Source organism: Homo sapiens, chromosome X (assembly GCF_000001405.40).
Source record: "Homo sapiens chromosome X, GRCh38.p14 Primary Assembly".
Lineage (NCBI taxonomy): Eukaryota > Metazoa > Chordata > Mammalia > Primates > Hominidae > Homo > Homo sapiens.
The window spans coordinates 11,014,023-11,041,693 of NC_000023.11; the positions used below are offsets into that span (position 1 = coordinate 11,014,023).

The window sequence follows — 27,671 nt, forward strand, 5'->3', positions numbered from 1 at the left end:
TTAACAGTAAAATTGTGCTGAATAAATAGATCATGGTGAAGCGTGTTGCTCACATTATTTTAATGGCAATTTTAGAGACTGTCACTCCATGATTTCTGTGCATTATTGATCATGAGTGACAGGTTTTGTATTTTTTTAACTGCAAAATTTGAAATTAGAAATATTATCATAGCATACTGTTGCTACTCTGAGAATTGAGACATCCTTAAACAACAGAAGGAAATTGTCCATGTGACTATTTTCTTTTATTTTATAGGGGAAGATATGGAGAAAAAAAAAGGCTGAGAATAGGACAAGAATGAAAAGGCAAAACTGCAATTTCACATAAATTCCTTCTGCTTATGCCATTTGCAGTAATTAATGTACTGTAAATAGGACAATTTTTTGTATTTTATAAATAAATTTTCACTGTGAGGAAAAAGTGCCATTTCCTTTACTTCCCATCCACATATTGTGCCGAAAGTGCACTTTTTATTATTATTATTCTGTACTTTTAAATATTTCTACACAATTTATCAAATATCCACCCAGAAACCCTAAATATTGAGGTGGATATCTCTGAAAACAATTGTCAGAATTCCTTTCCTTTTGAACACCCATCCCACCAGGCATGAGGATTAAAGGCAGATATTTGGGTATCATGTGATTCTCCTTTGGGAGATAATGACACACATGCAGAGGCTGAACAATGTAAATAGGCTAACATCTTGGAAAATCATCCCAAAAAATTTGTGTATAAGGATTTAAAGATTTCTTCTCTTTCTTTTTTCCTTTCTAACCTTGATGATTACTGTACTTATCTTTTCTTATTTCCCCACTCTCCCTTTGACAAAACCAAAGATGATACTTGGTTTTCTAATTTCCCTATCTGAAGCATTCTATATGAGATATACAAGTTTCGTTCTCCTTTTCTTCTTGTGGTGGGAAGAAAGCTCACACTTTTCATTTGAGACACTGAATCTAATGAACAATAACATTTATATGAAATGCCACCTATTCCATCAATAAGCATTATTGAAGATCTATTATATGCACCAACATTAGGCACTAGGGGCACAAATATATGTTAGATATAATTAGTGTCCTTTACACATGAACTGTCTAAGACGAGAGACAAATGTTTAAGTAAGTTTTATAACAGGAATACACTCTTTAATACAGGCATGCACTCAGGAGTTTGCTGACACAGAGAATGACATGATGAATTCTGCTTAAAAGAAAGGGGTATGAGAGATACGATCTCAGGAAGCTAAGATGTGGAAAAGAATCTTAAAAGGTGAGGGAAGACTAGATCATTGGAAACACCCCTCCAATGAGGGACAAACTGGACAAGCTGTTTAAAACAACTTGTTGAGAAAAGCTGGAAAAGTTGTTTAAAACAGCTGCTTTAAGGCATTGAACTGCTAACAAGGGATTAAACAACTTTAACTTCAAGGAACTGGGAGCAGACAGAACTGCAGAGAGGTAAGCCTGCCATTTGGGTATTCCTTCTCCTTTAAGACATTTGTCAAGCCCAAATGAGGGAACGAAGAAGCTGAGAAGTTGAGCAAAATGTCTGACAGTTTCCTAAGTCTAGGAGAACAAAATTGGGAGTCCAGGATCACCAAAGAAAGTGAGAGCCTACTCACCATGCAAGGCTGTGGAGTGGGACCTTGAGGAGTTGCAGAGGAAGAGTCAAGGTAAGTTGGAAAAACATTATTCCTCCCAGGGACTCCAATCCAAGTGCCAGGCACATGGTGATATGCAATAAATGATTGTTGAACAATTGATTAAATGATCACATCTGTGAATCAAGGGAGTGATGGCCCCTCTTCTGCCAGCTGCCCCATCAGAGAGCACACAATAGCTGGATGGCCAAGTGGCAGAAGGCAAGTTGGCACCAAGTGCCAAAAGAATGTGAATCCACAGAGTCAGGGTTCTGAGGTAGGAGGAATTAGGCAACAAGAGAAAGAGGGTGGAAGGGACATACAGCTAAGACCGGGATATACAGCTAAGACCATCATCTCTAGCCAACTCTGTTCCACTTGGAAAACAGGAGAGAGAGTGGGGAGAGAGAGAGAGAAAAGAGTGTGTGTGGAAAGAGAGAGAGAGATGGGGAGAGGGAGGGAGAGATGGGGAGAGGACAGGAAGAGTGGGGGGATGGTGGTAGACCACAACTTAGTTAAGAAACAGGGCAAACTTCATTATATTACATATCAATCATAGTTTTCTACACTTGTACAGAAAATTTACTCCTGAAATCCACTACAATATTAACTATTAATATCAATTTCAATTTGCACCACACTGGAACTAGTTTCATTTTAACTATGGTCTGTGGGGATCTCGATCTCTCTTGATTTCTAATCCTACTCTAGATCCCCATTATTTAAGGGCTTGAATCTCCAAATTAAACTGTTTTCTTACCTGATTGAAATTGTTTTCCTTCCTTGTTAAAACTTATCCACATTCTAAAAACTTAAGGTTTCATGTTAACCACTCAGAAGTGAGAGTTGTTCAAATCTGTGCATGATTTTCTGAAAAATTAGAGTTGTGAGTGAACAAAGGCCAAGTTTTCATTTTGTAGCTGAATGATAAATGAGGTGAAACTAGGATAGCTTTTATAAAAAATGCAAAATAAAGATTTGTCTTTCTCTTCCTCTCATGCTTAGAAGAATAAGCTGAGTGCCCTAAAAAGCATATTTATTCAAACAGCAAATCTGGTCTTATTGAACTGTTCTCTGTGGGTGCCACATGTTTACAAATATCCTTATCCTAAATTTCTTTCTTTTCTCTCAAGCTAATATCCTGTATGGTGTGCATTAATGCAAAATTGTTTAAAGGGTGAAAAATCAAAAGTCAGGAAATGCCCAGTTAAGGATCTTAAGAACAGTGAGAACTTGGCCACACTGCATACCCTGGGCAAATTATGACACAGTTTTTACCACATGAACAGAACTGTATTGAAGGTATAAATTTAACAAGGAAAAGAGGAATAGAAAAATTACATTCAGGCCACAACACCCACGTAATTAGGGTGTAGAAGTTTTGGAATTTCCTGACAACTTTTCTAAAGTTTGGTCTTTGCACAGAAATATTGTGGTAACATAGTTTTTTCATTTAATTTCCACGAGTTTACAAGAGAAGAAAGCATTCTAGAGAAATCCTCAATTTAGCAGTTCCTAAGCTCAATGTTCTTAATTCATGTATCTTTATAGAACTGCAATGGAACAAAACCAATCAAAGCAAAAGATTAATATGTCTTTATAGGCTTTCATTCTTTACATTGTATTGAGATTTTTTCCTGAGCTATGATGAACATACTGCTAAAGTGAAGTTTTAAGTTTGTCATTTGGAAATGTGAAAGCATAGGCATTTGTGCTTTAAAAAAATTTTTTTGAGCAAAAAATAAATGGTTAAAGGCGAGTGAAGAAGAATCTGAACTGAGGAACCCTCATTCATTCTCATTTTCTTTCCCAGCCAAAGTCTTAATGGTTGAAGAATTAAGTTTACACAAGGATAACTCTTTAGTACGCTTTCTCGCTCTATATGTGCAAATAATAATCACATGTAGTAATGTGGTTTCCTAGATAAGGTCAGATGAATTCATTTGTATCTTCTGAGAATTAAAAGTCAGTGGCTATTTAAACACAATTTTCCTACCAACTTTCCAAAGAACTTGTAGATTTCCAACAAAATTATTTGTGAAATTCTGAGTGTGAAAAATAATGTATTTTTAATTTTATGTAGGTGTATGGATGCAACTACTCCATCATTAAAACATTTTCTGAATTGCAGATTCAAATGTATAAAAAAGATTATGCAGATTACTACGTTTAATCTAGTTTCATAAAAAGGGTAGAAATTAATTAATTAGGCATTTATTTCTTAAGCAGGGTGAGAAAATTCCATATACAGAATTGTAAAACTTATTACAATTATTATTATTTTTATTACATTTTTAACTTAAAGTTTGTATTTTCTTTTTAATTATACTTTAAGTTCTAGGGTACACGTGCACAACATACAGGTTTGTTACATATGTATACATGTGCCATGTTGGTGTGCTGCAACCATTAACTCATCATTTACATTAGGTATATCTCCTAATGCTTTCCCTCCCCACTCTCCCCACCCCACAACAGGCCCCTGTATGTGTTGTTCCCCTTCCTGTGTCCAAGTGTTCTCATTGTTTAATTCCCACCTATGAGTGAGAACATGCAGTGTTTGGTTTTTTGTCCTTGTGATAGTTTGCTCAGAATGATGGTTTCCAGTTTCATCCATGTCCCTACAAAGGACATGAACTCATCATTTTTTATGGCTGCATAGTATTCCATGGTGTATATGTGCCACATTTTCTTAATCCAGTCTATCATTGTTGGACATTTGGGTTGGTTCCAAGTCTTTGCTATTGTGAATAGTGCCGCAATAAACATACGTGTGCATGTGTCTTTATAACAGCATGATTTATAATCCTTTGGGTATATACCCAGTAATGGGATGGATGGATCAAATGGTATTTCTAGTTCTAGATCCTTGAGGAATCGCCACACTGTCTTCCACAATGGTTGAACTAGTTTACAGTCCCACCAACAGTGTAAAAGTGTTCCTATTTCTCCACATCCTCTCCAGCACCTGTTGTTTCCTGACTTTTTAATGATCACCATTCTAACTGGTGTGAGATGGTGTCTCATTGTGGTTTTGACTTGCATTACTCTGATGGCCGGTGATGATGAGTATTTTTTCATGTGTCTGTTGGCTGCATAAATGTCTTCCTTTGAGAAATGTCTGTTCATATCCATCGCCCACTTTCTGATGGGGCTGTTTGTTTTTTTCTTGTAAATTTGTTTGAGTTCTTTGTAGATTCTGGATATTAGCCCTTTGTCAGATGAGTAGATCGCAAAAATTTTCTCCCATTCTGTAGGTTGCCTGTTCACTCTGATGGTAGTTTCTTTTGCTGTGCAGAAGTTCTTTAGTTTAATTAGATGCCATTTGTCAATTTTGGCTTTTGTTGCCATTGCTTTTGGTGTTTTAGACATGAAGTCCTTGCCCATGCCTATGTCCTGAATGGTATTGCCTAGGTTTTCTTCTAGGGTTTTTATGGTTTTAGGTCTAACATTTAAATCTTTAATCCATCTTGAATTAATTTTAGTATAAGGTGTAAGGAAGGGATGCAGCTTCAGCTTTCTACATATGGCTAGCCAGTTTTCCCAGCACCATTTATTAAATAGGGAATCCTTTCCCCATTTCATGTTTTTGTCAGGTTTGTCAAAGATCAGATGGTTGTAGATGTGTGGTATTATTTCTGAGGGCTCTGTTCTGTTCTATTGGTCTATAGCTCTGTTTTGGTACCAGTACCATGCTGTTTTGGTTACTGTAGCCTTGTAGTATAGCTTGAAGTCAGGTAGCGTGATGCCTCCAGCTTTGTTCTTTTGGCTTAGGATTGTCTTGGGAATGTGAGCTCTTTTTTGGTTCCATATGAACTTTAAAGTAATTTTTTCCAATTCTGTGAAGAAAGTCATTGGTAGCTTGCATCCAAGGATGGCACTGAATCTATAAATTACCTTGGGCAGTATGGTCATTTTCACAATGTTGATTCTTCCTATCCATGAGCATGGAATGTTCTTCCATTTGTTTGTGTCCTCTTTTATTTCATTGAGCAGTGGTTTGTAGTTCTCCTTGAAGAGGTCCTTCACATCCCTTGCAAGTTGGATTCCTAGGTATTTTATTCTCTTTGAAGCAATTGTGAATAGGAGTTCACTCATGATTTGGATCTGTTTGTCTGTTATTGGTGTAAAAAATGCTTGTGATTTTCGCACATTGATTTTGTATCCTGAGACTTTGCTGAAGTCATTAAGGAGACTTTGGGCTGAGACGATGGGGTTTTCTAAATATAGAATCATGTCATCTGCAAACAGGGACAATTTGACTTCCTCTTTTCCTAACTGAATACCCTTTATTTCTTTCTCCTGCCTGATTGCCTTGGCCAGAACTTCCAACACTATGTTGAATAGGAGTGGTGAGAGAGGGAATCCCTGTCTTGTGCCAGTTTTCAAAGGGAATGCTTCCAGTTTTTGCCCATTCAGTATGATATTGGCTGTGGGTTTGTCATAGATAGCTCTTATTATTTTGAGATACGTCCCATCAATACCTAATTTATTGAGAGTTTTTAGCATGAAGTGTTGTTGAATTTTGTCAAAGGCCTTTTCTGCATCTATTGAGATAATCATGTGGTTTTTTCTTTGGTTCTGTTTATATGCTGGATTACGTTTATTGATTTGCGCATGTTGAACCAGCCTTGCATCTCAGGGATGAAGCCCACTTGATCATGGTGGATAAGCTTTTTGATGTGCTGCTGGATTCGGTTTGCCAGTATTTTATTGAGGATTTTTGCATCGATGTTTATCAGGGATATTGGTCTAAAATTCTCTTTTTTTGTTGTGTCTCTGCCAGGCTTTGGTATCAGGATGATGCTGGCCTCATAAAATGAGTTATGGAGGATTCCCTCTTTTTCTATTGATTAGAATAGTTTCAGAAGGAATGGTACCAGCTCCTCCTTGTACCTCTGGTAGAATTTGGCTGTGAATGTGTCTGGTCCTGGACTTTTTTTGGTTGGTAGGCTATTAATTATTGCCTCCATTTCAGAAACTGTTATTGGTCTATTCAGGGATTCAACTTCTTCCTGGTTTAGTCTTGGGAGGATGTATGTGTCCAGGAATTTATCCATTTCTTCTAGATTTTCTAGCTTATTTGCATAGAGGTGTTTATAGTATTCTCTGATGGTAGTTTGTATTTCTGTGGGATCGGTGGTGATATCCCCTTTATCATTTTTTATTGCATCTATTTGATTCTTCTCACTTGTCTTCTTTATTAGTCTTGCTAGCAGTCTATCAATTTTGTTGATCTTTTCAAAAAACCAGCTCCTGGATTCACTGATTTTTTGAAGAGTTTTTGTGTCTCTATCTCCTTCAGTTCTGCTCTGATCTTAGTTATTTCTTGCCTTCTGCTAGCTTTTCAATTTGTTTGCTCTTGCTCCTCTAGTTCATTTAATTGTGATGTTAGGGTGTCAATTTTAGATCTTTCTTGCTTTCTCTTGTGGGCATTTAGTGCTATAAATTTCCCTCTACACACTGCTCTGAATGTGTCCCAGAGATTCTGGTATGTTGTGTCTTTGTTCTCATTGGTTTCAAAGAACATCTTTATTTCTGCCTTCATTTCGTTACATACCCAGTAGTCATTCAGGAGCAGGTTGTTCAGTTTCCATGTAGTTGATCAGTTTTGAGTGAGTTTCTTAATCCTGAGTTCTAGTTTGATTGCACTGTGGTCTGAGAGACAGTTTGTTATAATTTCTGTTCTTTTACATTTGCTGAGGAGTGCTTTACTTCCAACTATGTGGTCAATTTTGGAATAAGTGTGGTGTGGTACTGATGAGAAGAAAGTATATTCTGTTGATTTGGGGTGGAGAGTTCTGTAGATGTCTATTAGGTCCACTTGGTGCAGAGCTGAGTTCAATTCCTGGATATCCTTGTTAACTTTCTGTCTTGTTGATCTGTCTAATGTTAACAGTGGGGTGTTAAAGTCTCCCATTATTATTGTGTGGGAGTCTAAGTCTCTTTGTAGATCTCTAAGGACTTGCTTTATGAATCTGGGTGCTTCTGTATTGGATGCATATATATTTAGGATAGTTAGCTCTTCTTGTTGAATTGATCCCTTTACCATTATGTAATGGCCTTCTTTGTCTCTTTTGATCTTTGGTGGTTTAAAGTCTGTTTTATCAGAGACTAGGATTGCAACCCCTGCCTTTTTTTGTTTTCCATTTGCTTGGTAGATCTTGCTCCATCCCTTTATTTTGAGCCTATGTGTGTCTCTGCATGTGAGATGGGTCTCCGGAATACAGCACACTGATGGGTCTTGACTCTTTATCCAATTTGCCAGTCTGTGTCTTTTAATTGGAGCATTTAGCCCATTTACATTTAAGGTTAATATTGTTATGTGTGAATTTGATCCTGTCATTATGATGTTTGCTGGTTATTTTGTTCATTAGTTGATGCAGTTTCTTCCTAGCCTCGATGGTCTTTACAATTTGGCATGTTTTGCAGTGGCTGGTACCAGTTGTTCCTTTCCATGTTTAGTGCTTCTTTCAGGAGCTCTTTTGGGGCAGGCCTGGTGGTGACAAAATCTCTCAGCATTTGCTTGTCTGTAAAGGATTTTCTTTCTTCTTCACTTATGAAATTCTGGGTTGCAAATTCTTTTAAGAATGTTGAATATTGGCCCCCACTCTCTTCTGGCTTGTAGAGTTTCTGCCAAGAGATCAGCTGTTAGTCTGATAGGCTTCCCTTTGTGGGTAACCCAACCTTTCTCTCTGGCTGCCCTTAACATGTTTTCCTTCATTGTTGATGTGTCTAATATTGACAGTGTGGGAGTCTAAGTCTCTTTGTAGGTCTCTAAGGACTTGCTTTATGAATCTGGGTGCTCCTCCATTGGGTGCATATATATTTAGGATAGTTAGCTCTTCTTGTTGCATTGATCCCTTTACCATTATGTAACACCTTTCTTTGACTTTTTTGATCTTCGTTGGTTTAAAGACTGTTTTATCAGAGACTAGGATTGCAACCCCTGCTGTTTTTGGCTTTCCATTTGCCTTATTTTGAGCCTTTATTTCCATTCCTTTATTTTGAGCCTATGTATGTCTCTGCATGTGAGATGGGTCTCCTGAATACAGCACACTGATGGGTCTTGACTCTTTACCCAATTTGCAGTCTGTGTCTTTTAATTGGGGCATTTAGCCCATTTACATTTAAGGTTAATATTTTTATGTGTGAATTTGATCCTGTCATTATGATGCTAGCTGGTTATTTTGCCCATTAGTTGATGCAGTTTCTTCATAGTGTCAACAGTCTTTACAATTTGGTATGTTTTTGCAGTGGCTAGTACTGATTTTTCCTTTCTATATTTAGTGCTTCCTTCAGGAACTCTTCTAAGGCAGGCCTGGTGGTGACAAAATCTCTCAGCATTTGCTTGTCTGGAAAGGATTTTATTTCTCCTTTGCTTATGAAGCTTAGTTTGGCTGGATATGAAATTCTGGGTTGAAAATTCTTTTCTTTAAGAATGTTGAATATTGGCCCCCACTCTCTTCTGGCTTGTAGGGTTTATGCCAAGAGATCCACTGTTAGTCTGATGGGCTTCCCTTTGTGGGTAACCTGACCTTTCTCTCTGGCTGCCCTTAACATTTTTTTCCTTCATTTCAACCTTGGCAAATCTGACAATTATGTACCTTGGGGTTGCTCTCCTCAAGGAGTATCTTTGTGGTATTCTCTGTATTTCCTGAATTTGAATGTTGGCCTGTCTTGCTAGGTTGAGGAAGTTCTCCTGGAGAATATCCTGAAGAGTGTTTCCCAACTTGGTTCCATTCTCCCCATCAATTTCAGGTACACCAATCAGATGTAGATTTGGTCTTTTCACATAGTCCCATATTTCTTGGAGGCTTTGTTTTTCCTTTTCATTCTTTTTAATCTTGTCTTCATCCTTTATTTCATTAAGTTGATCTTCAATCTCTGATATCCTTTCTTCCACTTGATTGGTTCGACTATTGATATTTGTGTATGCTTCACAAAGTTCTCGTGCTATGTTTTTCAGCTCCATCAGGTCATTTATGTTCTTCTCTAAACTGGTTACTCTAGTTAGCAATTCCTCTAACCTTTTCTCAAGGTTCTTAGCTTCCTTGCATTGGGTTAGAACATGCTCCTTTAGCTGGGAGGAGTTTGTTATTATGCACCTTCTGAAGCATACTTCTGTCAATTTATCAAACTCATTCTCCATCCAGTTTTGTTCCCTTGCTGGTGAGGAGTTGTGATCCTTTGGAGGAGAAGAGGCATTCTGGTTTTTGGAATTTTCAGCCTTTTGGCGCTGGCTTTTCCTCATCTTCATGGATTTATCTACCTTTGGTCTTTGATGTTGGTGACCTTCGGATGGGGTTTCTGTGTGGACATCCTTTTTGTTGATGTTGATGCTATTCCTTTCTGTTTGTTAGTTTTCCTTCTAATAGTCAGGCCCCTCTGCTGCAGGTCTGCTGGAGTTTGCTGGAGGTCCACTCCACACCCTGTTTGCCTGGGTATCACCAGCAGAGGCTGCAGAACAGCAAAGATTGCTGTCTGTTCCTTCCTCTGGAAGCTTCGTCCCAGAAGGGCACCCACCAGATGCCAGCTGGAGCTCTCCTTTATGAGGTTGACCCCTGCTGGGAGATGTCTCCCAGTCAGGAGGCAAGGGGGTCAGACACCCACTTGAGGAGGCAGCCTGTCTCTTAGCAGAGCTTGAGCGCTGTGCTGGGAGATCCACTGCTGTCTTCAGAGCTGGCAGGCAGGAACGTTTAAGTCTGCTGAAGCTGCACCCACAGCCGCCCCCTCCCCCAGGTGCTCTGTCCCAGGGAGATGAGAGTTTTATCTATAAGCCCCTGACTGGGGCTGCTGCCTTTTTTTCAGAGATGCCCTGACCAGAGAGGAGGAGCCTAGAGAGGCAGTCTGGCTACAGTGGCTTTGCTGATCTGCAGTGGGGTCTGCCCGATTTGAACTTCCTGGTGGCTTTGTTTACACTGTGTGGGGAAAACCGCCTACTCAAGCCTCAGTAATGGTGGACGCCCCTCCCCCCACCAAGTTTGAGTGTCCCAGGTCAACTTCAGACTGCTGTGCTGGCAGTGAGAATTTCAAGCCAGTGGATCTTAGCTTGCTGTGGGCTCCATAAGAATGGGATCCACTGAGCTAGACCACTTGGATCCCTGGCTTCAGCCCCCTTTCCAGGGGAGTGAATGGTTCTATCTCCCTGGCGTTCCAGGTGCCACTGGGGTATGAAAAATAACTCTTGCAGCTAGCTTGGTGTCTGCCCAAATGGCTGCCCAGTTTTGTGCTTAAAACCCAGGGCCCTGGTGGTATAGGCACCTGAGGGAATCTCCTGGTCTGTGGGTTGCAAAGATTGTAGGAAAAGTGTAGTATCTGGGCCGGAATGCACAGTCCCTCACAGCACAGTCCCTCACAGCTTCCCTTGGCTAGGGGAGGGAATTCCCCAACCTCTTGCACTTCCCAGCTGAGGCAATGCCCCACTCTGCTTCTGCTCACCTTCCATGGGCTGCACCCACTGTCTAACCATTCCCAATGAGATGAGCTGGGTACCTCTGTGGGAAATGCAGAAATCACCCGCCTTCTGTGTTGATCTCGCTGGGAGCTGCAGACCGGAGCTGTTCCTATTCAGCCATCTTGCCCAGCAACAAAACTTCTACTTGGTTAAAGTTAGAATTTTATTCTTAAATTTATTAAACATTAATATTAATGCTTATTATTAATCACAGTTCTTTTTCCTGAATAGCAATGATATCAGCAGCTAATGCTTATTGACTTCTTACATTGTGCTAAGCCCTTTGCTTATTTATCTCATGTAAGCTACTCAAAAATCCCATATTGGAGATGTTATTACTATCCATTTTACTGAAATGGAGATAGCTGCTTAACAGGGTTTAGGAACTCACATAGTAAGTGCGAGAAATGGTAAAAGGTACACCTTGCTGATGTACACTGAATTCTGTCACATTGCTGGTGAATACCACTCAATAGAAAATATGAAAACAACCACAACATATCTTCTTCATGATCTAGCGCAATTCCAGCATCTGGAGAGTGAAAAGTGTGAGAAAAATGAATTTAGATTCCAGCTATTCCAAATGAGAAGTTGATTGTTGAAGAAACAAACACTGAAATGTTTGATCTTTCATCAGGGGTGTCAATATATTACAAATATTTTAATGTTACTCTAAGGAACAAAAGGGAAAACAGAAATAATCCCTTCACCCTATGATGTGCTAAAAATTGAGAAATGGAAGCTCTCGTTTATTTGGTCAGGTTACTTCCTGAAGGTGATTTTGTAAGGGAAATGTTTGTGATTGGGAAAAGGAAATTCTTATTTTCTTTTGTGGCATTTATTCACACATGGAATAAGTGAATTGAATTTTACAGTTTATAATCTTGTTCACTTATAAACAGCCAATAAGTGGGAGGTATTTGAAAATACAATTAAATGAAAACATCATCTCAAGAACTAATATTATGTGTCTTTAATCTACTGAACTTTCAATTCTTTACTTTAAATTTATTTTCATTTTTGTCCAAGTTATGCATTCACATATTTTAAAGAGTCAAGTACTTTCACAAGGTTTCAATAAAAAACAAAAGTTACCTGCTTCATCCACTCAAATGTTTCCCTTCCCAGAGGCACCATGATAGACATACACTGCAATTTCTGAATTTTTTGTTCTAGTCATTGTCTATCACTCCTGGTATGAAAGATGAAGATTTTGCTTTTGCAAAATCTCACCCCACTCGTACTCCTACATATATTTCTCATCTTCATCCTCCCACTGTATTTATCATGTGATTTTGCTTAGACCATCATTTGGTTTTTACATCATACTGACTCTGTAAATCCTATTTATAACTAAGTTGCCTTATATACTATGACTATTTTTTTTTGCAGCATTCTGTTTTTCTTAAAGTTAGCAATGATGTGGTGTTTGATTGCTTAGCTTTGTGTGTACTTACTACTAATACATTTCCCAATTATCCTCAAGTTGTATGTATCTCTCAGGACATTAGGACAATTTTATATCTCTGGATAAATCCTTCCAGAGTCTGAGCTGCTTCAGTCTGGATTGTTTGCCATCTACACCTGCATTAATTATTTACTGCCACAAACTTGGTGGGTTAAAATAGCACACATTTATTATTTCAGACTTTCCATGGGTTAGGAGTCCAGGCACAGCATAGCTGATTTCCCTGTTTGGGATCTCACTGGATTGAAATCAAGGTATTTGTTAGGGCTGAATTCTCATCTGAGGCTCAGGATCCTCTTCCAAGCTCATGTCACTCTTGGCAGGATTCAGTTCCTTGTAGATATGGGACTGAGGCCGTTGGCTTCTATAGACCACCCACCATTCCCTGACATGTGGTCCTCGCCACATAAATGGCTGTCTGCTTCTTTAAGGTGAGCAGGGGAGAATCTCTGATGTTTCAAATCTCTTTGACTCCTTCCCTCTATGATTTCTAGACTATTTTTAAAAGGCTCATCTAGTTAGGTAAGACTTCATCCCGGACAATCTCCCTATTGATTAGCTTAAAGTCAACTGATTAGGGACTTTAATAACATCTGAAAACCTCTTCATTTTCACCATATAACATAATCACAGGAGTAATATCCCATCGTATTCACAGATCCTGCACACACTCATGTGAGGGGATTCTACAGGGCACATATATCAAGGGGTGAAAATCTTGCGGGTCATCGTAGAATTCTGCTTACCATTATACCTAATAACTGGAAGCCACCCAGAACTCTCCATTCATTATCATCACAGAGATTCCCTCAGCCTTTCTCTTGAATTGAATTCTCTGTTTCCTGGACTTTGTGTCTTTTTTTTTTCTCTTGGTTTATTCCATAAATTTCTAGAAGCACATCTTCAAACAGCTTCCTGAAAAGGGGCTACATGAGTTTTGTTTTTTAGACACTGAAAATGGAGTTCTTGAAGTTATTTTTCCTCAGAATTTTTAGTGTGTTGTTGCTTCATTGCCTTCTAGCTTCCACTATTGTTATTGATAAGTTTGATGTCTTCTTATACTTGATACTTTGTATGAAACCTGTTTTTTTTTCTCCCTGAGACTTTATATTGTCCATTATCTGTCCCCAGCTTTGTGAAATTCCTCGATAATGTGCCTTGGATTTGGTCTACTTTATCCATTGTTCTGGGTGCTCAGTGACATCCCTTTCTATCAGGACATTCATGTTCCTCATAGATTCTGGAAATTTTATTTTGAATTATTTTATTAGTGATTTCCTTTTATCTATTTTCACTATCCTCTATTCATAGAACTTCAATTATTCTTTTTTTTTTGACGGAGTCTCGCTGTGTCGCCCAGGCTGGAGTGCAGTGGCGCTATCGTGGCTCATTGCAACTTCTGCCTTCTGGGTTCATGCCATTCTCCTGCCTCAGCCTCCTGAGTAGCTGGGACTACAGGTGCCCACCACCATGCCCGGCTAATTTTTTTGTATTTTTGTTAGAGACGGGGTTTCACCATGTTAGCCAGGATGGTCTCCATCTCCTGACCTCGTGATCCACCCGCCTCAGCCTCCCAAAGTGCTGGGATTACAGGCGTGAGCCACCGTGCCCGGCCAGAACTTCAATTATTCTAGAACATTCTAGATAAGTCTCTATTTTAAAAAATATTATCTATTTTCTTCTCTTTCTTCTAGTCTTTCTGGGAGATTCTCTTGATTTTATCTTCCAATATATATTTTTTGATTTTTTATGTTGTTTGAGATGGAGTCTTGCTCTGTTGTCCAGGCTGGAGTGCAGTGGCACCATCTCGGCTCACTGCGACCTCTGCCTCCTGGGTTAAAGTGACTATCGTGCCTCCGCCTCCCAAGTAGTTGGGATTACAGGCACCTGCCACACGCCCAGCTAATTTTTATATTTTTAGTAGAGATGGGATTTCACCATGTTGGCCAGGCTGGTCTCGAACTCCTGACCTCAGTGATCTACCTGCCTCAGCCTCCCAAAGTGCTGGGATTACAGGTGTGGGCCACTGTGCCCAGGGTATCTTCCAATAGTTTATGCGATCATATTGTCTATTTCTAAGGTTTCATGTTCACTGGATATTTGTTTTATAGTATCTACTTCTTCATTGATTCATATTCTCTAGGGATATTAATACTAGTTATTATTAAGTTTTTCTTTCTATTTGTATTGGCATTTAAAGTGAGGTGGGGTTTTTTTCATAAACGTCTGGCAGTCCTTGGCTGTCTGCTCATATTTAAGAGTGAGGCAGGCGCTAAAAAGAAGGCTGGGAGCTCATGGCAGGGGGAGTGCTTCTCAATGGTGCTCTTCTCTCTAGGATAATATTTGGAAAACTTTTGATTTGAGTGTCTTGTGCTTATTTCTCTTGGAAGATAGGTTCTCAAAGAAGATGCCTTTGACCCCCTCCATAGAAGGGGGAGAATGTTTTAGAATAGTTGAAATTCTATGAATAGAGGATAGAGAAAATAGAAGGAAATCAGTAGTAAAAGATTTCAATATAAAATTTCTAGAATTTAAGAAGAACATATATATCTGGCTGCCAACATTACTGAGCTATATGAGGGAAGATGGCTAGAGATCTTAGGTCCTATACATAAGGTTTATCTTAGTCCCCATGTTTTCTGTTTGGTATCTCTGTTTTAGTTGTACCTGGTATTGCCTAATTCAAAGATCATCTGTTTATCATCCTTAGAGAATAAACTTCAAGTCTCCTGCCAGAATGGGGGATGGATATTTGTTCAGATGTATAAATTTGGATTGGAGATATGAGGGACTAAATTTTTAAACAGTCTTTCAACTGATTATTCCACCTGCCAAATCCTGCTTCTTTGTAGGAGTCTGCAATGTACATTAGGTTATTTCTCCCCTTTTCCAACTTCCAGATTAGGATTCAGCTTTCTCATGTCTGTTAAATCATTTAACCCCTACCATCTGTCCACCAACTTCCAAAATCGTGTCACTGATGTCTCCTATCTCATACTTTGTTCTCATGTATTTATATCTTCTGTAAACATTCCTTTATTCTCATTTAGTGGGATTCTGGGAGGGAGAAGAGCTAAGTGTATGTTCAATCTACCATTTTTAACTATTCATATGCAAGACAATACTCACCAAAGCCCCAATGAGTTTTTTGAAAGGAACATCACCAGATGATTTGAAAGCCTGCCTGAAGGAATACACTTGTGAGAAAGCCAAGAAATTTCTGGGAGAATATATAATGGGATTTCCCCCTACAAGATATCAAAATGTATTTTAAATATATAGTCACTAAAATGGAATCATATTGGTGATTACAGACAGATTAATGGAACAAAAACACAGCAGACCAAAGACATTCTTATATGATCACACAATATTTCAAATTAGTAAGAAAAGAATTAACCAGGTAACTAATCAGCTGATAAATGATATTAGAACAAATGACTAACAATTTTTCAATATATACATATAACATCAGAACAAAGTTTGGGGATCTGGTCTCCTTCCTAGGGTCTAACAAGAGTCCCAGGGGATGACAAAAACTCCAAGAGTGTCTTTCAGTGTGTGGTTGTAACTATGCCATTTTTCTTTGCTCTGGCTCTTGTGGTCCTCCTGAAGGCAGCTGGCTTTTCTGATTCAATCCCTCCACTACACACACATGTACATGCATATACACATGTGCATGTACACCTCCTCCTCCCCCAGCAGATCATGACAGCCTTAACTGCAGTTTCCAAGCTCACTGAGCTTAGTATTTGGTTGCCAGCCTTATCAGAGGTCCCGCCTCTTCCCCAAAGCCAGATTGAGAGCAGGGCAACATTTCCACTGCTCTCACAACTCCCTACCCTTATCTACTGGGATTAGAAATCCTATTCCTGGTGGACTAGACTGCCACCTCACTGCTTGAACCCTCTGAGCCTTGATATTATTCACCCTGTCTGGAAACAAGGGCCTCATATCTGTCCTTGAAGCAAAAAACTATCCACACCTCCAGAAGAGGAAGCCCTGGTGTTACAGTTATCTCATCCTGATTAACAAATCACGCCCAAACTTTCCACCTTAAGCAATGACATTTTTTTTTTTTTGCTCAAGAATTTGCAATTTGGGGCTGCTCAAAGGCCGAGGACTAGGATATAAAATCATCTAGAGGCTAGTTCACTAACATTTCTGGTGGCTAACGCTGGTTGCCAGCTGGGGGTCTCAGCTAGTGCTGTTAGTCAGAGCACACATGGTCTCCTCATGCAGTTGAGGCTTACTTATAGCATGGAGCCTGGGTCTCAAGGGTGAGCATGCCAAAGAGGGAGAGCCAGGTAGAGCCATATTGCTTTATAGGACCTAGCTTTGGAAGTCATGCAGCATCACTTCCACTCTAATCTATTTGTTGACCAGTCTCAAAGTTCCACTCAGGTTCAAGGGAGAACAAATAGATTCCACCTCTTGATGGGAGGGTGGCATGGTTCTGGAGGAACATGTAGGACTGGATAGATTGCTGCAGCCATTTTTAGAAAATATCATCTGCCACACCTGGCTCACTATATTAAAAAGAAGAGGAAGAAACTGAACAAAATTGAGAAAAAAAATCTATAGAAAGAATCAACGAAACCAAAAGTTTGTTTTTTGAAAGGATAAACAAGATTGATAGACTACTAGCTAGATGATTAACAAAGAAGAAAAGAAAATCCAAATAAGCACATCAGAAATGACAAAGGTAACATTATAACTGACCCCACAGAAATACAAAAGATCCTCAGAGACTATTATGAAGACTTCTATGCACACAAACTAGAAAAGCTAGAGGAAACTGATAAATTCCTGGAAAAACACAACCTCCCAAATTTGAATCAGGAAGAAAGTGAAACCCTAAATATATCTATATCAAGTTCCAAAATTGAATCAATCATAAAAAAGCATATTAACCAAAAAAAGCCCCAGACCAGATGGATTCAAAGCTGAATTCTATCAGATGTACAAAGAAGAGCTGGTACTAATTCTACTGAAACTATTCCAAAAATAGTTACCGATCACTAACTCATTCTACAAAGCCAGCATCACACTGATACCGAAACCTGGCAAGGACACAACAAAAAAAGAAAACAAACGGCCAATATCCCTGATGAACATAGGTGCAAAAATCCTCAACAAAATACTAGCAAACTGAATCCAACAGTGCATGAAAAAATTAATTCACCATGATCAAGTAGGCAAAATCCCTGGGATGCAAGGTTGGTTCAACATATGCAAATTAACAAATGTGAGTCACCACATAACAGATTTAAAAACAAAACCCATATGATCATCTCAATAAATGTGGTAAAAGCTTTTTATAAAATCCAACACACCTTCATGATAAAAATCTTCAAGAAACTAGGCATAGAAGCAACATAACTCAAAATAATAAGAGCTATCTATGACAAGTGCACAGCTAACATCATACTGAATGGGCAGAAATGGAAATATTCCCCTTGAGAACTGGAGCAAGATGAGAATGCCCATTCCCACCACATCTATTCAACATAATACTGAAAATGCTATGCAGAGCAATTAGGCAAGAGAAAGAAATAAAAGGCATCTAAACAGGAAAAGAAGCAAGCTATCTCTCTTCACAGATGATATGATTCGATACCTAGAAAACTCGAATGACTCTGTCAAAAGGCTCCTGGAACTGATAAACAACTTCAGTAAAGCTTCAAGATATAAAATTAATGTACAAAAATCAGTAACATTTCTATATACCAATAATGTTCAAGCTAAAAGCCAGATCAAGAATGCAATCTTACTTACAATAGCCACACAAAAATAAAATACCTAGGAATACATCTAACCAAGGAAGTGAAAGATCTCTACAAGGAGAACTACAAAACACTGCTAAAAGAAATCACAGATGACAGAAACAAATGGAAAAACATTTCACACTCATGGATTGGAAGAATCAATATCACTTAAATGGCCATACTGCCCAAAGCATACTGTAGATTCAACACTATTCCTATGAAGCTAGCAATGTCATTTTTCACAGAACTAGAAAAAAACTATTCTAAAATTCATATGGAACCACAAAAAGCCTGAACAGCCAAAGCAATCCTAAGCAAAATGACCAGCATCAGATTACGCGACTTCAAACTGTACTATAAGGCTACAGTAACCCAAACAGCATAGTACTCTACAAAAATGGACACAGACCAATGGAACAGAATAGTGAATCCAGTTATAACACACCTAGAGCCATCCAATCTTTGACAAAGTCAAGAAAAATAAGGAATGGGAAAAGGACTCCCTACTTAATAAATAGTGCTGGGATAGCTGGCTAGCCACGTGCAGATGAATGAAACTGGATCTGTACTTTTCACTATATACAAAAACTAACTCAAGACGGGTTAAAGATTTAAATATAAGACCTCAAACTATAAGAATCCTAGAAGAAAACCTAGGAAACACCATTCTGGACATGGGCGTTGGGAAAGAATTTATGACTAGGTCCTCAAAAACAATTACAACAAAAACAAGAATTGACAAGTGGGACCTAATTAAACTAAAGAGCTTCAGCACATGAAGATAAACTACCAACAGAGTAAACAGACAACCTACAGAATGGGAGAAAATATTTGCAAAGTATGCATCTGACAAAAGTCTAATATCCAGAATCTATAAGGAACTTAAGCAATTGAACATGCAAAAAACAAATAACCCATCAAAAATGGGTGCAACACATGAACAAACACTTATAAGACATACCAGCTGCCAACATACATATAAAGAAAGGCTGCATATCACTGATCATTAGAGAAATGCAAGTCAAAACCACAATGAGATACCATCTCACACAAGTCACAATGGCTATTACTAAAAAGTCAAAAAAACAACCAATGCTGGCAAGGCTGCAGAGAAAAGGGAACACTTATAGACTGTTGATGGGAATGTAAGTTAGTTCAGCCACTGTGGAAAGCAGTTTGGAGATTTCTCAAATAACTTATGACAGAACTGCCTTTCAACCCAGGAATCCCATTATTGGACATATATCCAAAAGAAGACAAATTGTTCTACCAAAAAGACACTTGCACTCGCATGTTTATCACAGTACTATTCACAACATCAAAGATATGGAATCAATCTAGGTGTCCATTAATGGTGGACTGGATAAAGAGAATGTGGTACATATTGTGGGAAAGAGTTTCTGGGGTGCCAGTTGAGTTGGTCTCTCCTGTGTGAGACACCCATGGGAAGCCATGGGTGGCCTCTGAGGAGAAAAGTCTCCTTACTGCCTTCATGTCTTTATGCCCCAAGAGCATAACCGCTCAGTGGCATTCCACAGGTTGCTCGGGGAGATAACACTCCCTTGAAGCAGTGGAGTACAATCAAACATCTTGGCTCCTCCTGAAACCCGCTCCCACCCATTTCAGTCCCCATAAGTTAAAGATCTTAAGTAGTTTAGACACACGCCTTTGCTCAAGGAAATTCAAAGAAACCGCCACTGCTATACATCTTATTGAATGACTCACGAGTTCTCCTTCACTGATTAATCCTTTTCCTCATCCCTTCCTCCCCCTCCCATCTGCCCTAAGAACAAAGAGCTTGTAAACCAATAAATTGGGCGGAGCCCGAGAGCTCTGGGCCATGAGCAAGCCTCCGAGGGTCCGGTCCCCTGGACCTGCCTTTTAAACGCTTATTCTGTCTCTTTCTAACTCCTTTGTCTCCGCAGGACTCGGGGTACCCCCTGGGTGGTGTGGGGCTGGTTCCCCAACACATATATGTCACAGAATACTATACAGCCATAAAAAGAACAAAATTATCTCCTTTGCAGCAACGTGGATGAAGCTGAGGCCATTATCTTAAGCGAATTAATGCAGGAACAGAAAACCATATACTGCATGTTCTCACTTATCAGTGGGAGCTAAACATTGGGTACTCATGAACATAAAGATGGTAACAATAGAAACTGGGGACTACTAGGTGGGGAGGAAGGGAGGGATCAAGGGTTGAAAAACTAACTATTGGGTACTGTGCTCACTACCTGGGTGACGGGATCATTTGTACTCCAACCCTCAGCATTATGCAGTATACCCAGGTAACAAAACTGTACATGTACCCCATGAAACTAAAATAAAAGCTGGAAAAACAGAAGAGGAAGAAAAAATGTTTCCTTTGTTTTTGTGCATTAAAAGCCCATAGGCAAGAAAATATACAGTTAATTTCTCAATTAGGCTACCCTGCCCATCTGGTTTCATGGTTGAGAGACAAATGCTAATGAATCCTTTGGTACATCAATTAACTCTGCTTTGCTTCAAGGTCATGGATTAGGTCCCTACATCGAGTCAGTCACCTTGAAAACAAATGATACTGCGAACAAGGACAACCAGACATCCCTCACACCCCGCCAAATAGAATGTCTCGGTGTAAATCCTTTACTACTGGCAAATGATCTACTAAAGAGACATCTTCTGTGCCTAAAAATGGGCAGCCCATAAACATTTACAGTGATAGGAGAAGGAAATTATTTTCTTTTTTCTTTTCAAATAAATCATTTGCACATTACCACTCTATTGAACTCATTTATAGAAAACAAGATCGCGTTTTTGTTTTGTTTTGTTTTGTTTTTGTTTAATGAGGAACAAACCATGTTACTGTTAAAATGCAACATTATTTGTCTTGGCAACTACATTTGGATAAATCTTTATGGAGGCTCTATTGTTTGGTTTTCTATCATTGCTATACTTTTTAAAAATGTGCTCGTGAACGGTTAGCAATTGCCTATCACAGTGAACTTTTCCTTTGGGAACTGGGGATTTCTGACACACAGAACTGCATTTCCTTTATATTGTGTTACAAATACTTGATAATTCAAACCAAATTCCAGGTTAGTCTTAGTAAAAGACATGCCCAACAAATGGCTAGTTTCTAAAATTCATAGGTGATATATTTGCATCTGGAGTTGGTAGAGGAAGATGTAAGAGCAAATCTTGCATGAAGAATAGTTTAGAGAAAGCTTGATTTAGTTATATCCTTTCTTGTTCCAAATAACATTTAAACTAAGTAAGCAAGCTTTGTACAATCTACTAAGGATTTTTCTTAAGAAATGAGTCAGAAAATAATTTGCTAATAACTTTAAATATATTGTGAACAAGAAGCATGGCTCAATTAATTCCCAGATCTTACTTTGAAAAATGGAATTTCCTGAGAGACTTGTTAGAAATATAGATTCCCAGGGCTACCTTTAAGAATTTGAGTAAGTCTGGGGTGACACTCCAGAATCTGCATTTTAAACAATGCCCCCATGTGAAACGGATACAACTGGACCTACTAACCTACATAAAATTTTATTTTTAGTTTTTAGCAATTTAATAGAAAACTCTTACTCTATGTAAAGCAAGTATTAACTCATTAAATCCTCATAACTAACTAATAATGTAGGGATATTGTTCCCAGTCTACAGATGACAAAGCTAAACCACAGAGAGGTCAAGTAACTTGTCCAAGGGCCCGCAGCTGAACCCAGGCAATGTGGCTCCAGAGTCTGTATTTGGTTGACTTTTAAGAGACTTAATCACACATACATAAAAATAAACTATATAAAATTAAATCAGCATGTCGAGAAGAACAAAAATAAAATATATAAAATCATTGAACTGTAGGATCAATGACCAAAAGTCTAGAGGTTGTCAGCTTCCCTCTTTCTCAGACCTTTGTAGCTGGAGTTACTATAGACACAATGCTACCAAATTTCTGAGACAAAGTGGCCATACAGTATCAAGTGGTACCACCAAGTCTTACCAAAAGTGCTACTCAATTGTTGGCCATTACAATTCCCATAATTACCATTGTGGCAATCATCCTTATCCTTTGAATTCTCCACTGGGACTGCCTGGAGCTCTTCTGTGATCCACACTTGGCTGGCATTGTCCTAGCCATTGACACCTCTTGCCAACTTTGTCCCTGAGTGGTGGGTGTCATTTCCCATAATCCCATAACTACTGCCTGGGGTCCTTCTCTAAGGGACTCATCATCTACCACCACAAAGTCTGTCCTTCTAGTGTCTAACACTCTGACCCTGCAGCCAGACTACATTCCTCTGGCCACAACCATGGTCCAGAACCAAACCCACATCTTTTTTAGACTTGACATCCTCAACCTCACACTAGCCCAATGCCTCAGAGCACTCAAATTCAGAAATAAGTTACGCTGCTCCACAAGGATGCTTTATGGGGGTATTTCACACCCGAATATCTGGAATATGTTGATATATAACTATACTTACTTGTTATCAGATCTAACATGACCCTTTCCTTCTCTGAAAATAAAAAAAGCCAAAATGAAACTTTAAATTTTTAAATTTACATATAAATAATTTATGATGCCTTTGAATTAGACATTTTCAACTTTTGCCTTAAACAGATGGGGTCTGTCGGATCCCATAATTTTGTTTCAGAAGTTTAACTTCATGAATTGACTTTATATGAAATATTTATAAACATCAGAGATGTGGTATAGAAGATAGACTCATTAAGGTCCTTTTTTTTTTTAGCTCATCAAGAGGTGCTTTAGAAAACTAGGACTTGTTCTTAGCTGCACATGGAGTATGAAAAGGTATAAGGCTAAATGTTTTATTCCTCAACATGTGGGTCATATATAATCAATTTGATATTGTGTTTCCTTGGTTTTATTGCTTAATTGTATTTATATATCATGGAAGGCAGCAGAAAGAAAACATGTCAATTAGCCATTCTCACAAAAAAAATTTGAAGAGAAAGATGATCTGTCAAGGTACCATGGCATGGTGGAAAATATTATTGTCAATGGAGTCAGAGAGATCAGGGCAAAAATTCAAGTTTGCAACTTCGAAAGTTTTTAGCTTTTCAGAACCAAGTACAAGTTAATGACCTTATTGCCATACTATAAATAATTCCCAGTAGAGAAGCTGGCAAATAGGCCTCACTGAAGAAAGTTAACTGGTTTCTTAAAACTGTGCTTTGAACCATAGAAAAAAATGGGAGCAGGTACATACGGACCCTACCGTGTGCCTTTTCCAAATGTCTAAATTTTGTATTATGTTATTATATTAAGTTATTTGGGGATCTAATAAGCTGGATTGGGTCATTTTAGTATTTGAGATCGTGTTAGGCGAGCAAAAGGGAGAGTAATTGTGCTGTGGATGTGAAATGAAAGGGTCAGATTAGTTCAAGTCATCTCTCATTTGCTGGTATACTCCATCAAGAGGTTAGGAGATGACAAGTTGCCATGGGTGTGAATCTCCAATTGAACCAATTAACTCCACCTAATTCAGAGCCTCAGATGTGGGTAATGGAGGTATAGCAGAAATACTGAACTGATTACATTGAAGAGGTCACCAAGGGAAGACTGCAGGGGAAAATTTATCCTGCAAGCGGAAATCCACAACAAAAACAAGGAACCTGATGACAAGTCGACCTGGAAGACTCAAGTTCTTACAGTAATTTTGAGTTTTAAGTTCTCCCTCAAGCTCATGACTTTTCACTTCATTTAAGTCTACTCAAGTAACTGAGGTTTTGTCAAAGGTCACCAGTGAAACCTTGGTCACCAAACTCAAAAGCTTCGTTTCAATACTTTTCCTCTCTCAATTCAGCGGGGCTTGCCTCTGCTAGACACGTCTTCCTTCAGAAGCATTCCCTTGATTCTACGACAAGTTTTTACTGTAAGTTCCCACTTCCTTTTTTGTCCCTTTCTTACTTGTTTTATTCCCTTCTTTTCACCTCTTCAGGTTTCTAAATGAGGGCACATCTCACAGCTTAGTTTTTGGCTCTCTTTTATTAATATTTACTAGCTTTTAGTTAGTACATTTACACCTTTGGCTGCTACTTTTCTATTTCAAATGTTAACTCTGAAGCATGGTTGAAATTTCTAAACTCCTTATACACATCTCTAACAGATGTCCCACTGGCTCCTGAAACTTTGCATCCTGCCTGTATTAGTTGGTTCTCATACTGTTATAAAGAACTACCTAAGACTGGGTAATTTATAAAGAAAAAAGGTTTAATTGACTCACAGTTCTGTGGACTGTGCAGGCTTCTACTTCTGGGAAGGCCTCAGGAAACTTACCTGAGAAGAGAAGACAAGGGAAGCAAACACCTTCTTCACATGGAGGCAGGAGAGAGAGCAAAGGGAGAAGTGCCACACATTTTTAAACCATCATATCTCGTGAGAACTCAGTCACTGTCATAAGAATAGCAAGGGGGGAAACTTCCTCATGATCCAATCACCTCCCACGAGGCCCCTCCTCCAATTCGACATGAGATTTGAGCAAGAATACAAATCCAAACCATATCACCGCCACTCTTCTTATATTCTCTAACCCATGCTCCCAAATTCCCCAACACAGCTCCTCTCACTCAAGTTGCCCAGGTTCCCAAACTTGGAATCACCTGGGACGTTGCCTTGTCTTTCACCCTCTTACCTTAAGAGGTGCTAATTACTACAGATTCTGCCCGCCAAAATCATCTAGGTCTGTGCCATTCATCTGATCCTTCCATAGACGCTCTGTGTTAACATTACATCATGCCTGGAGCTAACACATCCCAAGAGAAATACAGGCCAAATGTACTGGGAGTCCAGAGGAGATTATTAATTCTTAAATGGACCATTCATGTATCTGTTCCAGATGATAAAAGGCAAAAAACACTGAATGATTACCAATCCAAGGAAAGTCACCCAAAAGTGTACTGAAAGACTAAAACGAATGTTGTGTCTTAAATAGAAGCTAATTGTTGTAGAAAGAATGATCTTTACAAATAACAGGGCTCTTTTAAAAACAGACAGAGCAAAAGTTTCTTCCCTCCCCTAATCAGTCAATGGATGGTAATGATATGATGGCAACATAAGAACATAAATCCATTTTTCCAGGTGGTTTTTATGGACCTTCTGAATCAGAATCATCTGGGGTAGCTGTTAAAATGCTGTTTCCCAGGTTTCATCCTGTACTCTTCTTTTGTAGTGCCCTGGGACATCCTTTTAAAACAAGTTATCCCTATGATTCTTATGTACATTAAAGCTTAAACGCCACTAAAAAATAAGCAAGAGAAAAGGTCAATTACATCAAAATATGATAAATTACATTTTTTATACTTGTCTCTAGTTTTCAAACTTTATAGTTATATCAGAAAAAATAATGAGTAATTTTAAAGTTTCTAGTCTCTCTCTGGATTTTCACTATATATATCAGAGAATAACTCACAGATAAGTTCTTTTAAATAATTAAGAAGATTCTGTAAAAGGAGAAGATATTTGAAGCAGAACTTTTCCATACATTTTCAAAACTACTGTTAAACTCAAGAGTGACCTAAATAATCTAATGTTTTTTTAATTGAAAAAGTTTTTAAAATTCCAGATATGTAGGAAAAAGATAATAAAATTATGATACTATTGTTCTTTTTTCAAAACTCAAGTTCTCTTGCTAATTGTTAAGGATACTGATTTATTTGAAACACAACATGTTTCTGCTTCATAACAACATGTGTATTATTTTACATTTTTATTGGCAACTTTCACTGTACCCTGGTGATTTCTAGAAATCCGCATACTTCCCTGCTGCTAAAAGTTTCCAAAAAATAATAAACAAATGATTATTAACTCTTGATATTTTTATTCTATGATCATGTACTTTATAAGAAGCACTTGAAAAAGTGGAGCTATTAACTTTAGGGAAAATAGGGTCCATATACCAGATCTCAACTGCAGGGATATTTTGTTAGGTAGACAGACCATCAAGAGTAGATAGAAAAACACCCACCACAAGTGTATTATTCCCAAGAAAGAGTGTCAGCATTTGGACTTCCTTCCGTTAGCACTAAACACACTCCTAACTTTTCACCTCATGAAAGGAATGTCCCCTGCTCATAGTGAAGTTGCTATCATGGCCAGTGTTGCTTTTTGCACAAGTGTCTAGCTCAGTGGTTCTCAACTGGGGGTGTTTTGAGCCCCCAGGTGACATTTTGTAGTATCTAGGTTTATGTTTAATTGTCACATCTTGGGAAAGCTACTGACATCTAGTGGGTAGAGCCCAGGGATGCTGCTAAACATCCTACAAAGCACAGGACAGCCTCCCACGACAAAGAAATTTAAAGTCCAAAATGTCAATAGTGCCAAGGTTGAGAAACCCTGGGCTGAACTCAGAGTTCCATAAATTAGTGCCTATTTCCATAAATTTTTAGGTCTGTCAGTTCCTGCTTCCTGACTTTCTACCCTAATCATCTGAAGCTTCAGAGTTTTTCATATCACCATATTAATGGTGACTGATCTTTTTGATACCTCTCTTGACCCATATCCTCACCCCGATCCTTGACCTAACCCTGTCCATCCGGCAGTTTTGATCCTTCTTTATCATCTGAAACCTCTATTCAGATTATTTGCCATAGAATTGTCTGTCCCTCTCTCACACAAGAATAATCTTCTTGAGTGTGAGAACTCTTACCTTAGTCTCCCCAGCATCCATCATGGTGCCTCAAACATAACAGGTGCTCAATGAATACTTGTCAAACTAATGAAATAAGACTTGCATTGTACCAAACACTGATGATGACTCACATAACATAAAACATAACCATTTCCTTCAAGTACTTACATTTTTGGGTGAAGGTACACACCAGAAAAGATAGCTAGCACTGTAAAACAGTGCTTAATGAGTAACAGATGTATAATTCAGACAATAATTACTATAAAAGATTTCTGGTGAGTGTGAGTTCCCTTAGAATGCAGGGAAGCAGAGAGTGCCTCATCGAATCGAAAACTGAAATATACTTGAAAGGATGAGGATGCTTTGTATAAGCTAGGAAATGTGGGGAGGCCATTCCAGCCTGGTGAGATGAGGGTGGAAAGTAGAGCATAAGCAAAGCTTGTCTTTGTAGAAGAATTTTGCCACATAGAACCATGGCATCTAAAAGCATGTTCATGGGGTCCTCTTTTGTACTTCTCACATAGTATTCCAAGAAGGGGGAGCATACAGAAAAGCAGTGGTAGAAGCCCAGATGTCATCCATTACCCTAGATCACACTCCCTCCCTGGAAGGAGCTCAAATCCAGTGACTGTCAAATAGAGAGGGATCCAAAAGCCTGGCCCCCTTGCCTCAAGGCAGGACAACTTTG

The 27,671-nt window shown here is 38.7% G+C and overlaps 1 long non-coding RNA gene across 1 annotated transcript in view; it reads right to left on the minus strand.

The window, feature by feature from the left end:
• Positions 1-27,671, minus strand: part of HCCS-DT (HCCS divergent transcript) — a 263,596-nt gene that overhangs the window by 166,480 nt on the left and 69,445 nt on the right. The window contains exon 4 of the long non-coding RNA NR_186561.1: positions 24,581-24,633. This is a non-coding gene — a long non-coding RNA (HCCS divergent transcript). The remainder of the gene's footprint in view (positions 1-24,580; positions 24,634-27,671) is intronic.